General features: G+C 39.1%; 2 annotated features.

The window, feature by feature from the left end:
- Positions 731-934: a silencer, noted in NCBI's record as "fragment chr16:77098253-77098456 (GRCh37/hg19 assembly coordinates)". NCBI's record gives its function as "represses an EF-1alpha promoter that drives an FKBP-Casp9 reporter gene in an ReSE screen in HepG2 liver carcinoma cells {active_cell/tissue: HepG2}" and the evidence as "EXISTENCE:reporter gene assay evidence [ECO:0000049][PMID:32094911]".
- Positions 15,879-16,097: a silencer, noted in NCBI's record as "fragment chr16:77113401-77113619 (GRCh37/hg19 assembly coordinates)". NCBI's record gives its function as "represses an EF-1alpha promoter that drives an FKBP-Casp9 reporter gene in an ReSE screen in K562 erythroleukemia cells {active_cell/tissue: K562}" and the evidence as "EXISTENCE:reporter gene assay evidence [ECO:0000049][PMID:32094911]".

Here is a 17,462-nt window from a genome sequence, read left to right on the forward strand (position 1 = left end):
TACAGGACAATATCCCACATAAGAAACCCCCACGGGTAGACCCAGGGTAGTACACTGTGCACACTTCAAAAGCACACTGATGTAGAGATAACCTTGAATCCACTCTGATTTTGGTATGTTTGACCTGGCTGATGATCAGTGGGTCAGCTTCACAATAACCACAGTGGCTTCCATAACTAACACGTGGTGGCCAGAGGCATCTGTGTTCAGCTGCTATTATCCCTGTTGGAGGTGTGCCATCCAGAGCCAAAGTCAGGCATTCCCATGCTAGAAGGAAAAAATCCAACTCCTTATTGTTCTCTCTGCATTGTTCTTACTTAAAGGAAGCCTGCCCCAGGGTTTGGTAAATACCATTCAGGCTATCCCTATGTCTGAAATCTCTGAAAACATGCAGAAGGGGAAGAAGAGGGAAATAAAAGACTCGTATCCATGAATGGAAATACCTTGGGGGAGGAGCAAGAAACCGTGTGTTTGCTAAGTGTGGGAGAGGTCACTGTCCCAGGTAGCCCCATGCTGTTTCCTGTCATCTTGGGATTCTCGCAAGTCCTACCCTGACCAGCCAGGGAACTGCGGGACCTGCCTGTGAGCAGACCTGAGCTGTGCAAAGAAGCACTGTTATGTGAGCATGTTCACACCAGCGGGTGTGCCCTTTAGATGGAAATGACCTCAGAGAATCCCTCCCACCTCTGGCGTTGGCCAAGCAGAGTCATCTTCTCGAGGGTACTCTGGGGAGACTACAGTACTTAATGGGAAATACCATTTAGAGGTCTGTGGACATCCTGACAAAGACAATTGAGATAAGTTTTTTCCCAGTAATTTGGGATTCAAAAGAAAGCTGAGTTGGCAAAGCACCCTGCAGCTCTGACTGTGCCGTGTGGAGCACAGGATCAGTGATCTCCGCTGAAGAGTAAACTGACTACACGAGGCCCGGAGTCCTACTGTCTTTCTGTGCTCTCAGGCCCTCCCTGGGGAGCCTAAGGAAGGAAGACTGCAGGGTGCCTCAGGCTGTCTCCAGGCCCCCTCACAGTTCCTCCAGGTACTGGGCCCTCAGCGTCTGCCTGTCTGTGACACCCACACCCATGTTTCGCCCCTGACCAGCCAGGCCCAGAACCCACCTGTCCTGAGAAAGGCAAAAAATACTCTTGCACCAAGAAACATCCATTCTCCTTAACTAATAGATCAAGAATTAGAAAATAAACACTATCGAGGGCCTATCAGAGGGTAGAGGGTAAGGAGGAGGAAGAGGATCAGGAAGAATAACTAGTGAGGACTAGGCTTAATACCCAGGTGATAAAATAACCTGTACAACAAACCCCTAGGACACAAGTTTCCATATGTAATAACCTGCACATATACCCCTGAACTTCAAAGTTAAAAAAGGAAATATCAATAGACACTTTCATGGCCCCAACATTTGTGTAGGGCAGATGGATTTTCAATCCTAACTTAGTCACTTTCTGACTTAATCGTCTTTGCAGCTACTTCACCTCTCTAGACCTCAAGCACTGCCTTATCTGCAAAATGGGTACAATAATAGTATCCGCCTCATGGGGTTTAGTGTTAATTTTTTTAAAATCATGCTAAGTGCTGAGCACACAGCCTGGCACTGTGCTGGAGAAAAGTTAATTTTTATTATGAAACAATGGTCAATTCTGCAGCACTAGGTTAGATATTGGGCATAATATTTACCATATTGGTACCAAACAGTATAAAATTTGACTCCAGAGACCTCTCATTTGTACTGTGACAGTAACTTAATTTGGCAAGAGCCATGCAGTCTCTGAAAGAGAAGCTTATGCTACTGCAAAAACTAATCAGGCCTCCAAGAAAGAAATGCCATCCCAGGCCAAGAGGACACAGCAGAGTTGGCACAAAGCAACTTAGCTGATGAGAGCCTGGGAGGGTGGGGAGTGGCCTCAGGAAAATCGTGAGCAAGGGGAGGCACTGCTGTGTTTGGTGGGTCAACCGGCCAGAAAGCTGGCAAAGCCAAAGGCCTCCACTTCAGAGAGCAAAAGAGGAAAACAAGTGTTTGTCCTTATATAAAGATTCTTTGCTTGGTCAAACTTTTGTCAGGCTCTTGAAGCTCCTGCTAGGCCTATCTGTGCAATTCTTTATAAAATTCAGTTTTAGCAGAGAATCCTGCTAATTCATTTTAGCAAGAACTCCCTACCTGTGATATCACATCACCCTCAATATCTGACCAGGTTTCTCATCCTCCTCTGTCCTCCAGGGAATGTCTGCTCACCCTGGCCTGTCTTCAGCAAAAGTTGTTAGGAAGATTTAGCCAAAATCCTTCTTATCCTTGATGTTTCTTTTTAGTAGTTTTCTATCCACTGAACCCCACCCTGTCGCTTGGCTATAACTTCCCATTTGCCCATTGCAGTGGGTCCTATACCTATCACAATGGTCTTGAATAAAGTCCACTTTACCATGTTTTTAAAATATTATTAAGTAATTTTTTTATTGTCATCCCCTATGGGAGGGAGAGATCCTGGGGCAGGAAGAGCATGGAAAAAAATGCATGCATTTTCCTTGCAGAAAAAAAAAAAAGTAAAACCAGTGCAAAGTGAGTTATACCCTAGGTCTAGGCTGTTCAGAGGCAGGAACCCACTCAGCCCATTTTCTTCTGGATAACCACCACTAGGAGACTGTGGCCAAGAGCTTCCCAGAATTTGAGTGAAGACTAGACAGCTTACCTTTGTTTTTTTTCTTTTTCTTTTAATTTCCAACTTTTAAGTTCCAGGGTACCTGTGCAGGACGTGCAGGTTGTTACATAGGTAAACGTGCGCCATGGTGGTTTGCTGCACAGATCGTTCCATCACCTGGAGCTGGAAGCCATTATCCTCAGCAAGCTAATGCAGGAACCAAAAACCAAATACCATGTATTCTCACTTATGAGTATGGGAGCTGAATGATGAGAACACATGGACCATGGACACATGCAGGGGAACACCACACCATGGACCCTGTCAGAGGGTAGGGGTGGGGGTAGGAGGAGGAAGAGCATCTGGAAGAATAGCTAATAAACAGCTTGCCTTTCTTTGCTGCCCTGTTGCTAGAATAAAAGGCAGTTTTAAAAGAGTGGCTGATCAGGAAGTTGCTGACTGACTAGAGAAGTCAGCAGGTTCTCACAGCCAGGGACTGGTGAAGGGAAGGAGGAGGAGAATTAACAGCTTTAGGAGCCTAGTATGTGCCAGGTACAGAGCTAGACTCTATAGCCACATCATCTGATATAATCCCTACAACATCACCTCAAGGTAATCACTGTTACTATTCCCATTTTACAAATAAGGAAACAGGTCAGTTACACCTCTTAGACAAGGAACTGAAATTTAAACACAGGCCTGTGTGATGCCAAAGTTTATACGATAAAGTCCTGATGGCCCTAACAGTTTGGTGGAATAAAAGCACATGATCTTGGGACGCCACCAGACCATAAATCACGTAGGAAATCAGAAGGGCTCATGGGCCAGACACTGGGCTTCCTGTGTATAACCATTTATGCTTTACAGAGACACTGCAAGAGGTTCCCATTATCACCTTGTATTAATCTGTTCTCGCATTGCTATAAAAAGAACTACGTGAGACTGGGTCATTTATTTTTAAAAAAAGGTTTAATTGGCTCACAGTTCCGACTGTACAGGAAGCATGGCTGGAGGTCTCAGGAAACTTACAATCATGCGAGAAGGCGAAGAGGAAGCCAGCAAGGAGCAGGAGCTCCTTGGTGGAGCAAGAGGCTCCACCTCTTGGCAGGTGCAAGAGGAAGATAGAAGCAAGAGATGCTACACACTTCTAAACAACCAGATATCGTGAGAATGCACTCATTTTGAAAACAGCAAGGCAGAAATCCACCCCCATGAGCCAATCACTTCCCAGCAGGTCCCGCCTCCAACATTGGGGATTACAATTCAACACCAGTTGTGGGTGGAGACCACAAATCCAAACCATGTCCTACCTCTGCTTCAATGTTAATAGAAACTGAGGCACACAGAGATTTAGCAACATTCTCAATATCACAAGGGTTGAAACCCAGGGTATATGGTACAGTCTATGCCCCTAAGTGCTATGCTATGTTGCAACTCAAACACTAAATTATCTTCCATATTGTCTACTTCCTGAATAGAGAAAATGCAATGATGAACATTAGAAACATTTCAAACAAGGAGTGGAATATTTGTAGTTTAACTCTAAAGTTCTCTTAACCTTAAACCATCTATTCCTGTCTTCTAATGGAGGCATTTGGTTTCCATTGTAAATGTTTACCACCTATATACACTGTTCAGAAGGCAAGTGAGTCTGACTTTTTACAACCTACAAATAATGTGGATGGACATTTTGCAGACTTGAGTCTAGAATAGCAATTTTCTGTGGGTGGAATCATAAAAATAGAAAGCTCTACCTCAGACACAAATGAATGAAAGATTGTAGTATGCCCCTCCCTCGCTTAAAATCCAATGGTTGTAACATACAATAAAGCCAGCATGTGAAAGCTGTGGGGAAAACATGGGTTATTAAATAAATGGCTTTCAGAAACCTGGAGAGCCATTTCAGGAAAAAAAAAATAAATTGCATCCATACCTCAAATAATACAACAGAATAAATTCCAAGTGCATCAAAGATTTAGGAAACGTGTAAAAAACATTTTTAAATTATGGACTAACTGTGTCCTCTTCAGCTAAACACTGACCATCACGTCCTTCTCTCCAGTGGGTCATCTTTAAAAGCTTGGGAAACTTAGCTATGGCCTCATGACACACTGAGGCAGGTTTTCCCACAGGTTTTGTGTGAAGCAAGTTATACTTATTTGTAAAATTTTCAACTTGTATTAGCTTAAAAAATGAATATCTGATTGCAGCTGTATTCTATTCTATATTTTAGAACAAAAACCTGGCTCAGGAAACACCAGGTCTTATTACAACAATACTGCTTAATGATACCTTTTCCTGTGCATGATATTTGAGGCACAAAGTGTGAGAAGAGAATTTAAACATGTCCCTTGTGTGTACTAGAGAACAACCCCAACCCACACACAGTCTATGAAAGGGAAAATTAATGAGCTTATGTGGTTATTTTTAAGCCTTCCTTCCTTTCTTCTTTGTAGTCTTTCTCCTATTTTTAATTTTTTTAAAAGTGTAATAATGGATAAGAGCGGAAAAACATTTTTAAAAAGTTTGAGGACTTAAATTTGGCCATATATCCCAAACTAAATTAATCTGTGAATGTAGCAAGGGATTGATGGATGGGCTCAGTTTTTCTTAACAAAGAATAACAACATAAACCATAACAAAAACTCCATATGCCTTTCCCTGTTACAGGTAGATAATGTTTCTAAAAATAGCATCAGTTAGCCATAAGACCAGAGACTCCTGGAGCAAAGGGCAACTGTCATTTTCTATTAATGTTGGCAGGTGGAGTTGAGGCACCATGATCCATAAGAGATGATGTGAATGAACAGTCCTGTAAATGTGAGAGGAGCCCTGCCCCACTCCTTCCCAGAAGCAGCCGGCTACCTGAGTGCTTCCTGAGATGTCTGTCTGCTTGTCACGAAGAGGAAGTCAGAACATCCTTACTCTAAATAACATTGCAATTTTGCAGATAGGTGTGAGATACGATTTCTAGCATTTTCCAAATTCTTCTGCCTGGAAAACAAAGCCTGTTTGCAACTATTTGGACGTATTTAAGAGTAATTTTTCCACTTGGGTTTGTTTGTTAATTTGGAATATTTCTGACAAATAGCGTTCTGTGTGATGATGGACATGTCCTGTATCTGTGCTGTGCAACACAATCACCGCTAGACATGTAGCCATTGAGCACTTGAATTGTGTGTTCTGTAACTGAGGAATTTCATGTTTAATTGTATATAGTCTTAAGTACTTTATTAATAGACCCATAGTTGTTGCTCTAGGTAAGGTGGAATAAGCATGTATATCCCTGTTCTCCCAGTATATGTAGCTATAAAATCCAGACAGAAAGAAGCTATTCAAGGACTCTGAAAAGTAACTAGAAATAATTTGCAAGAGAACAGCATTCGAATTATCAAACCATTGGTACATTTACTGTTTTTTATCTCCAGTATTCCTCAGCAATGACAGAAGTGAGCACTGGGACAGAGAGAGAGTTCCAGGAGAAATCCTCTAGTCTAGCATGAAGAGTGAGAAAAGGGTCTCGCAATGCTTGAGTGTGGGGAGAGAAATACCCTGACTTTTATTTCTGTTTTCCTGTGCCCAGCCTGCAGTGGCCCAAGAGCTTTTCTCTCTGATCAGAGAGCAATGGCACCAACAGGTAGGGGTAATCATCCATTAAACTTTGTCCTCTTGCTGGCTGGTGCTGGACTTGAGCACAGCTGCAGAAAGTGAGCAGCAGAGTGAGGAAACAAAACTTCCATCTTTCTGTTCAGAAGACTAAAAAGAGGATCTCGAGAAAATGATAAAGTAATGGCATGAATGTGGAGAGGAAGGAATGCACGAAATCTACATAACAAAGTTGTTTATAAACTCCTAGGCTCCACTCTGAGCTGCACTTGCATGAACCTGACATACACAGATTCTGAGAACTAAACTATAGGATAGACCACTGCCCATGTCCCAGATTGGCTAGTGATGGGGACCACATAGGGAATATTCAAATAGCACTGCAAAGGCATTGCCATCAAAGCCCAAATCCACAGAAAGTTAGTCAAAACTTGTGGCCTGAGCAAAATTGGGTGGATTGCCTGCTAAAACAAAATTATCAGTATTGTCTATAGGATATAAACAAGAGCCAGTATCTAATAACATAACATTAAAAATGTTGAAGATACAATTCGAAATCACTCACCAGGAAACTTGGAATTTATGTGGAAAAAGGTAATTTAAAAAAAGACAATGCCAAGATGACACAGGTATTGAAATTTTCTAAAAAAGACTTTAAAGCAGCTATTATAAAAATCCTTCAGAAATAAGAGGAAACACTCTTCTAATGAACAGAATTAGAAAATACAAAGGAGAATCAAATTGAAATTTTTAAACTGAAACACGATAACTGAAATTAAAAACTCACTGGATGGGCTCAATAGGCAAACAAAAATGACAAAGAAGAGTCAGTGAGCTTCACCATAGTTCAGCAAAAATTGTCCAGTTAAAACAACAGAAGGAAACAAAGATTGACCAAAAAACAATGAATAAAGTCACAGAAAACCATTGGACAGTACCAATAGCTCTAATGATTCCAGAAGGAGAGGAGAGGGAATGCAGAAGGCAGTACACATACACGTATATGTGCGCATGCGCACGCACACACACAAATATATTAGCTGAAAATTTTACAAATTTAGCAAAAAATATGAACCTACGGGTTGGAGAAGCTTATGATCTCTAAACAAAAGCCTCCACTCTTCATAACGGCAAAGTCATGGAATCAACCTAAGTGTCCATCAACAGTTAACTGGATAAACAAAATGTTCTATGTAACTGTAAACAAAAATGAAATCCCATCATAAAGCTGATACTCCTTATAATCAAGACAGTTATTAAGAATCTAGGTTTAAAATATATAAATCTAGGTTTATTCATGAAATTCAACCTCACTTGGTTTCCTTTATCAGCTTATTATTGGTTTTAATTTCCCTGCCCAGTAATCCCATCACTGTATTTTAACTTCTTTTTCCTGCTACCCATTGCTGGAGATAGGGGATGGGGGGCAGCCAGCCAAGTGTGGAATGCAGCAAAACCATTCAGAGTAGACAAAATTGACAAAAATTGTGAAAGCAAATAATGTGACAGCCTCAGAATCCTGACCTTTAGAACTTGAAACCAATAAACATGAGTTCTTTTGTATTATGGGTAAAAAAAAGAAATGTTGTTGTATATATACACCATGCAATACTATGCAACCCTAAATGGAAGGAAATTATGTCCTTTGCAGCAACATGGATAGAGCTAGAGGCCATTATCCTGAGTGAACTAACTCAGAAACAGAAAATCAACTACCACAGGTTCTCACGTATAAGTGGGAGCTAAACAGGAGGTATATATAGTGATATGGTTTGTCTGTGTCCCCACCCAAATCTCATCTTGAATTGTAGCTGCTGTAACTCCCCCATATGGTGGAAGTGACCTAGTGGGAGAGAAGCGCATGATGGGGGCAGTTCCCTTCACACTGTTCCAGTGGTAGTGAATATGTCTCATGAGATCTGATGGTTTTATAAATGGGAGTTCCTCTGCACAAGCTCTCTCTTGCCCACCACCATGTAAGAAGTCCCTTTGCTCTTCCTTCATCTTCTGCCATGATTGTGAGGCCTCCCCAGCCATGTGGAACTGTGAGTCCATTAAACCTCTTTCCTTTATTAATTACCCAGTCTTGGGTATGTCTTTATTAGCAGCATGAGAATGGACTAACACACATAGACATAGAGATGCAAATAATAGACACTGGAAACCTCAAAAGGGAAAGTTGGGAGGGTGGCGAAGGTTGAAAAAAGATCTACTGTGTGCAATGTTCACTATTTGGATAATGAGTATACTAGAAGCTTAATCTCTGCCAGTATGTAATATACTCGTTTAACAAACATGCCTTGTACCCCCTGAATCTAAGATAAAATTTTATTAAAAAAAAGAAAAGCCCTAAGAAATTCACAGCCACACACATCATCATCAAACTGCTAAAAGCTAAAGACAAGAAAAAAAATTTTGAAGGTAGCCAGGGAAAAATGGCACATTACTTCCATGGGGAAATCAATGATTCAAGTGCCTGTTGATTACTCATAAAAAATAAAAGGATACCAGAAGGAGGTGGAACATACTTAAGGTATTTAAAATATTGGAAGATTTTTGTTTTGTTTTGTAAAGTACAATAATTTAGGAGTTCTATATCTAGGGATCATCCAGGAATAGAAGTACAATAGGCTGGGTGCAGTGGCTCATGCATGTAATCCCAACACTTTGGGAGGCCCGGGCAGGTGGATCATTTGAGGTCAGGAGTTTGAGACCAGCCTGGCCAATATGATAAAACCCCATCTCTACTAAAAAATACAAAAATTAGCCAGGGCGCAGTAGCTCACACCTGTAATCCTAGCACTTTGGGAGGCCAAGGTGGGCGAATCACCTGAAGTCAGGAGTCCAAGACCAGCAAGGCCAACATGGCGAAACCCCGTCTCTATTAAAAATACAAAAATTAGCCGGGCGGGGTAGCACGTGCCTGTAGTCGCAGCTACTCGGGAGGCTGAGACAGGAGAATTGCTTGAGCCTGGGAGGTGGAGGTTGCCATGAGCCAAGATTGTGCCACTGCACTCCAGCCTGGCCAGATAACAGAGCAAGACTCCATCTCCAAAACAAACAAACAAAAAAAAATTAGCCAAGAAAGGTGGCATGCACCTGCAATATCAGCTACTCGGGAGGCTGAGGCAGGAGAATCGTTTGAACCCAGAGGTGCAGATTGCAGTGAGTCAAGATCATGGCACTGCACTCCAGCCTGGGCAACAAAGCGAGACTCCATCTCAAAAAAAAAAACAAAGTACAATAAAAGAAATTCAGCAGGTGACGGAAAAATAAAACAGTTTGTTCAAAAAAGATTGGAAGAGAGCTCTTCTGAAAAAATAGAAATTATTCCAAGAGGAAGCAGAATACCAGAAAGGAAGGAAGAACAGAAATGTCAATTATGTAGGTAAATATAATATTTACCTAAATACCTAAAAATAAATATTTACCTAAATACTACCTAAATACCTAAAAATAAATATTTACCTAAATACCTAAAATTTACTAAAAATATTTTTGAGAGCTGAAAAAAAGTTATAGTATCGTCTCATGGAATTTTTTTATCTATCTAGATATAATAAATACTTATACAATAAAAGCAGGAGAATAGAGAGGCCTGCAGGGCGAAAGAATGTCTACATCACATCTGAAGTCGCAAAATAGTCATTCTAGGCAGACTATAAAAAGTTGAGCACTTTTATTGCAACTCCTAAAGTTATCACTGATAGATAAATACAGTTTATTTTTTAAGGAAAGGGAAAATAATATAGGTCAGAAATTTGGATCAAAAAGAAGAGCATCAAAGAAGGATTAAATGAAGTACAACGTAAATATGAAAAGTAATATTGATTAAAACACATAAAAGAATGGAAAAAGATAATACCATATGGACACTAATCAAAAGAAATCTAGAGTGGCTATATTAATATCACACAAAGTAAACTTCAGAGCAAAGAAAATTGCCAAGTTATAGATGGAGAAAAACCTCAATTCACTAACATAATAATCCTAAATGTTTATGGTTTTGTTTTGTTTATAGTTTTGTTTCTCTGGAGAACCTTGACTAATACAACACAAATTACTAAGTCTAGTTTCTTCCCAGAATGCAAGGTTGTTTTCATATTAGAATATCAGTGAAATACACAGTACTAACAGTTTAATAAAGAAAAAAATATTTTAACAATTGGGGCAGAAAAAAATCAGCTGACAAAATGTCAAGATCAATCAATCATTAAAAACTATTAATTAACTTGGAATAAAAGGGAACTTCCTCAAACCTAATGAAGTGCATCTATGAAAAACCTACAGCTAGCACCATACTTAATGGCAAAAGATTGAATGTGTTCCCATTAACGAGATGAAAAAAATTCAAAAATGTCTGCTGTCTACTTCCATCCCTCCTATTCAACATTGTTCTAGAAGTTTTAACCAGTGTAGTAAGACATAAAAAATAAATAAAAGGCTTTCATATTGGACAGCAAGAGATTAAAGTGGCCTCATTTGTAGACAACATAATTTATCTCTACAGAAAATTTCAAACAGTCTACTAAAAAACTTCTACCTATAATAAATGAGTTTAGCAGAGTTTAACTTTAGCAAAAGTATAAGTGCAATATATACACAGTATATACACAACTGCATGTCTATATTCTAGCAACGAACAAGTGAAAATTGAAGTTTTTGAAATACCATTTGCTATAGTTTCAAACAGAATAAAATACTAAGCTATAAAACTAACAAAACGTGTACAGGATCTGTATGTTGAAAACTGTAAAACTGATGAAATAAATCAACAAAGACCTTTTAAAAAAAAGAAAGACATACTGTGTTATGGAAAATAATATTTAACCAAGAAAATGCTGATTATTCCCATAGATTCAATGCAATTTCATTCAAAATCAAAACAGGAGCTTTTACAGACACTAGCAAATGAATTATAAAATTGGTATGAAAAGGCAAAGAAATGAGAATAATAATTCAAAAATGTAAAAAAGAATAATGAGGTTGTAGAACACATATTCTTCCATTTTCAGGTGTACTATAATGCTTCAATAATCTTGAGAGGGTGGTCTTGGTGAAAGGATAGAAATATATATCAAAAGATCAGGATAGAAAGTTGAGAGATAGATCCATCCAAATACATATGGCCATTTTAGACAAGGGTACAATAGGCAATTCAATGGAAAAATGATAATGACTCTTCAACAAACAGCATTAGACACTGGAGATCTAGAAACTCCTAAAATTGAATTATATTATAACAACCAAAACTAATTCATTATAGGTTTGATTGTAATGACAGTTTGTGCCCTGCCAAATAAAACAGCACATTTTAAAAGTATGTATGTTTGTCTTAAAAGTTAAAAAAAATTTTGCATTGTAAAAAAAAAGTATAAATGTGTGTATATGTGTTTATATTCTTTTTTAGATAAAAGCACCAGAAATTTTATTTGCCCAATTTTCAAATGGTACTTTAGTCCAAGGGAAATTTTTTGTGATTTTTGACTAATGCAATCAACTATCCAATGAATGCAGGTAATAAAGTGTACCCATGGTCACGTTGTATAGCTTTTATCTAAATCATCATGATTTAGGCTGGGTTCAGTGGCTCAGGCCTGTAATCTCAACACTTTGGGAGTCCGAGGCAAGCAAAATCACCTGAGGTCAGGAGTTCAAGACCAGTCTGGCCAACTTGGTGAAACCCCATCTCTACAAAAATACAGAAATTAGCCGTGCATGATGGTGGGTGTCTGTAATCCCAGTTACTCTGGAGGCTGAGGCAGGAGAATCACTTTAACCTGGGAGGTGGAGGTTGCAGTGAGCCGAAATCACACGATTGCACTCCAGCCTGGGCGACAGAGCGAGACTCTGCCTCAAAAAATAAATAAATAAATAAATAAATAAATAAATAAATAACAATTTAATATTGTCCAAAAGTAAAATATTTTATATATTAGATTCCACAATTTTTCTTCATTTTTACCATACACTCTTAGAAATACCTGACAGGTATCTCATGCTTTACCTATCAAACTTCTAAATGCTTATATGAGATGATAATACTGAAGGGGCAACAATGGCAGTGAAGGTAGCTAATTTTCAGTCTTGGCTCTGTCGTTTTCTAGTTAGGTAACTCTGGGTAATCCACTCCTTCTCACTGGGAATTAACCACTTAAAAAATAATAGTGCAGAATTCATGGTATTCAAGTTCTCCTCTAGCTCAGAAAATTCCATGCATAATCACTGTCTTGGCACCTATTAAGATCTCCTTTAAACAATATCCCAGACAGGAGGATTTCTGTGAAGTGTGAGGTGTTTAACATGAAACACTCCAGTAAAAATGTTCCATTTTCAAAGCATTTTTGGAGCCCCACTGTGAATGAGGCATTTTTGTAGGTACTGGAAAAATGAGAGATGAAAAGGGCATGTTTCCTGGTCTCACTTTAATACAAGACCAGAAGGAAAAAGCTAAAAAAGAAAAGTTTTAAATCTGATGGGAATAGTTAACAGAGGGAGGAAGAAAGTGTTAAGATTAGGAAAGTCCACCATGACAAGTTTTCTTGCAACCCAGTGTTTGTATATGTTTTATGAATGTTGCTTTTAATATGTCTGTGTTGGTAAAACTTACGACTTTTTAAACTACTTTTATCTCTAGTACAATTTCCACCAGAAAAGAATTAAGATACATAAGGCAGGCATTATTAGTCCCATTTAGATTAATGGAAACTGAGACCTGAAGCTCTTACCCATTATCAAGCTTTACTAATACTTTTGAAAACATGAATAAGCAGCTGGGAATGGTGGCGCACGCCTGTAATCCCAGCACTTTGGGAGGCCGAGGAGGGCAGATTACCTGAGCTCAGGAGTTCGAGACCAGCCTGAACAACATGGAGAAACCCCCGTCTCTACTAAAAATACAAAATTAGCTGGGCATGGTGGCACATGCCTGTAATCCCAGCTACTCGGGAGGCTGAGGCAGGAGAATTGCTTGAGTCTGGGAGGCGGAGGCTGCGGTGAGCCAAGATTGCACCGTTGCACTCCAGCCTGAGCAACAAGAGTGAAACTCCATCTCAAAAAAAAAAAAAAAAAAAAAAAGGTGAACAAGCAGATGTTCCAACAAAATAGGAACAGGTATGTGACACCGGAAAAGGGCAACCACCCCACCCTACCTTCCTTCCTTTTTAGGACATCCTTTCTCTGGTTAGAAAAGATGAAGTCCCTGAGATCAGTGACATATTATTGCACACGGGAGGAAATGTTTAGTTATGAAGCAACTCCACTTTACAGCTCTATCTAATCTTTTCTGGGAAGCTGTATTTCATAAATCTATAGATTTTGGGACTATTTACTATATGCAACCCTGAACCATGGACATCCTATTAAAGACACTCTTAGTTGCACATATGGTAATAATTATGCCCCTGATATATAACTTATTTTATTTCATTCATGCAATAATCATGTGAAGTAGACTTTGTTTACCCATTTTAATGAGAAAATGCAAGTGCCAGTAACTTAAGTGATCTGGCCAGAGTCTGCAGAGTTCAGCCCTCCCCACAGGGCAGGGCTGGGGTTTGAAGGAGACTTGTCTTCGATTCACATCACAGTTTTGCCGTGACTGCACAGCTGTCTGTGTCTGCTGTGTCCCATCTGCTCTGCTGTGGGAACTGAGGAGTGAGTTCTGTAGAACTGGCCCTTGACTGACCAACGACTGTGAGGCCTCAGTACAAAAGGGGTGCATAGAGGTGTTAGAGGAATTGCGGTTCACCCTTTCGGAATAATTTGGCATTCTCACGAACATAATGGTTCTGGTAGGCCTAGAAGAGTTAATACACACATTCCCCATCCCCACCCACAATGGGTTTGAACACTGAGGAAATCAGCATTAGTGTTTTTTTCCCTTGACATGCTTTATCTAAGTAGGAAGGAAATTCGTTAATAGTCATTGTCTATTAAAGTACAAGACTGGGGCTACTAGCCTTAATTTTATTTAGTAAGTCTTGACATGAATTTTGGAACCACGAGATATAAGTAATAAAGAAAAGGTCATATGATCTTCCAGAAAAGAAAAAATCATGCAAGGTTAGGGCTAATTTTGTGATGCCAGTCTTTAACAGTCTCGGAGCTATTCACTGTGTGGAGAACTCTGTGGGACTTATTTTTTCTCCCTTTGATGTGGACCATTTCATTCTGTGCTCCATTTTCCAACTCAGTGTATTTTATAATGATATCCATCATGACTGTCTGTCAGCTTATGGCAGCTTAAAAAATTGCCTCAAGGCCAGTAATGAGAAGAAATCTTTCCCACTTCCTGTAGATTGTTTTGTGTGCTTCACAGTTTTCTGCACCAAATAATAAAAAATAACATTGCTTTCAAAACTGTTCTTTAGTTTGCCTCTTTATCTTTTCCTTTTTAATCCTTTATAGTTTATTTCCCTTTGCTTTACTGTGTTTATTCTACTGCGTTTTGTTCATAATTAACAAGACATAGAAGGCAAGAATATATTCTCCAAATGGAAAGTTTTTTTAAAAGCCTTAATTTAGCTATCCTTTAATCCCACAAAAAGGAAACTATCTGAAGTTTATAGTAAGAGAGTCCACACTTTAATAACTGTTCTTTGAAACAGAGAAATCAATACTTGCTAGCGATGAGGGTGGACACTTCATGAGCTGAGTTCTCATGAACCTGCAAGCTAACTTTAATATGAAAAGAAACCTGTAAGTTTCTCAGTGCAATTATATTAGCACCTGGAAGTGCCGATAAGTCTTGGAAAGGTCAATTATTTCAGCTGTTATTAGAAAAATGTTTGTGATGGTCAGGGAAAGTAAGAGAATTTTCCATGATGACATGTCTTTTACTCTTTTTTTTTTTTTAATTTAAAATCCCCGCCTGACTCTGAAACATCAGGTTGTATAATAATTCAATGCTTGGATTACTATTTAGCAGTGCTTGACATTTCCCAAAACATTATCTTCACTGCTATTCTATCATGCGAAAGCCTTAAGCCACCCCATGAAGTCAGTAGGTGGATAATAAATATTTTTCTAAAGAATATTCTTTTTCTAAGAATTAACTGTAGTTAGGATGCTTCATCAACTATCAATTCTTGATTACTCAACATTTAACAGTGAAAAAGTGGAAAAATCCAGCTTTCATAGCTGAAAATGTTGAATATGTAAAATGTATTTTTATTTTCTTTTGACCTCAATCCATGTGGATTTGAAGGAATGAATGAATTAGTAGATGGATGGATAGATGGACAAACAGTTGGACAGAAGGTTGAATGGATGGATGTAATAGGTCCGACTGCACTTCTGGGAAGAGCCCAGATTTATACTGAACTGGAAAGCATCCTGATGCATGAGAACTCCATCCCCAACCTCACACTTTTCTGTTCCTTATTCCTTTTGAGGAATAGCTGGAATCATCTTTCACACTGATGAATTGCACCAGTCTATGTTAAACTTTCCCTTTCCTTAAGACCAACACTGATTTGCTTAAATCTTCCTGGGTGCCAAGTGCAGTCACTAACGCCTGTAATCCCAGCATTTTGGGAGGCTGAGGCGGGCGGATCACCTGAGGTCAGGAGTTTGAGACCAGCCTGGCCAACATGGCAAAACCCCATCTCTACTAAAAATACAAAAATTAGCCAGGTGTAGTGGCGTGCGCCTGTAATCTCAGCTACTCGGGAGGCTGAGGCACAAGAATAGTTTGAACCCAGGAGGCGGAGGTTGTGGTGAGCCAAAATGGTGCCATTGCCCTCCAGCCTAGGTGACAGAGCCAGGCTCTGACTTAAAAAAAAATAAAAATAAAAAAAATTTCCCTGGGATCAGGGAAGAAATCTTACAGACTTAAATTTCTTTGATTTCCAGATGCCCATTAGACTGTTACTCTTTATACTTAGAAGAATAAAGGAGAGAGAGCAGCTATGAAACTATTAGGGGAAGAATCCATCTTGTAAGGAAAATTAAACTTTTTTCAAAAAGTATTTGAAAAGGAAGTTAATATAACTGAAAAACTTGAGATGTAGGTCTATTTAGTCACAAAGTGCCATCAAGACCAAGATAGTCAGTGTCCTACAGAAAAATCTCAGTAAAAGCCCAGATGGTGGGAGGAGAATGCCCTTCATAAGATATAATGACTTTTTTATGGATTTGGATTAACTGGGCTCTAGAAAGGTAAAGAGAAGAATCAATGCCTTCCCATAAGGACTTTTCCATGGAAAGCAAGAGAGAATTGAGCCGGAACTCTATGGTATCAACAATAAAATAATATAATGCCTAGCATCAACAAAAGCCCAGATACAGGCATACCTCGGTATACTGGTTTGGTTTCAGACCACCACAATAAAGTACCTATCACAATAAATGAATTACACAAATTTTTTGGCTTCCCAGTGCATATAAAAAATTATGTTTATACTCTACTACAGTCTATTAAGTCTATGTTTATAGTCTTTTAAAAGTACATATGTTAATTTTATTATAAAAATACTTTATTTCTTAAAAATGCTAATGATCATCTGAGCTTTCAGTGAGTTTTAATCTTTTTGCTGGTAGAAGGTCATGACTTGGTGTTGATGGCTGCTGACTGATCAGGGTGGGGATTTCTGAAGGTTGGGGTGGCCATGGCAATTTCTTAAAATAAGACAACAGTGAAGTTTGCCACACTGATTGACTCTTCCTTTCGTAGCAGATTTCTCTGCAGTATGTCATGCTATTTGATAGCATTTTTTCTCACAGCGGAACTTCTTTAAAAATTGGAGTCCATCCTCTCAAACCCTGCCAATGCCTTATCAACTAAGTTTTTGTATTAGTTTAAATCTTTTATTGTCATTTCAACAGTGTTCACAGCATTTTCACCAGAAGTAGTTTCCATCTCAAGAAATCACTTTCTTTGCTCATCCATAAAAAGCAAGTCCTCATCTATTCAAGTTTTAGTATGAGACTCCAGCAATTCGGTCACATCTTCAGGCTCCAATTCTAAAACTAGTTCTCTGGCTGTTTCTACCACACCTGCAGTTCTTCGTCTACTGAAGTCTTGAAACCCTCAAAGTCATTCATGAGGGCTGAAATCAAGTTCCTCCAAACTCCTGTTAATGTTGATATTTTGACTGCCTCCTATGAATCACAAATGTTCTTTTTCGAGACAGAGTCTTGCTCTGTTGCCCAGGCTGGAGTGCAGTGGTGCGATCTCTGCTCACTGCAAGCTCTGCCTCCCAGGTTCAA

This window comes from Homo sapiens, chromosome 16 (genome assembly GCF_000001405.40).
Source record: "Homo sapiens chromosome 16, GRCh38.p14 Primary Assembly".
Classification (NCBI taxonomy): domain Eukaryota; kingdom Metazoa; phylum Chordata; class Mammalia; order Primates; family Hominidae; genus Homo; species Homo sapiens.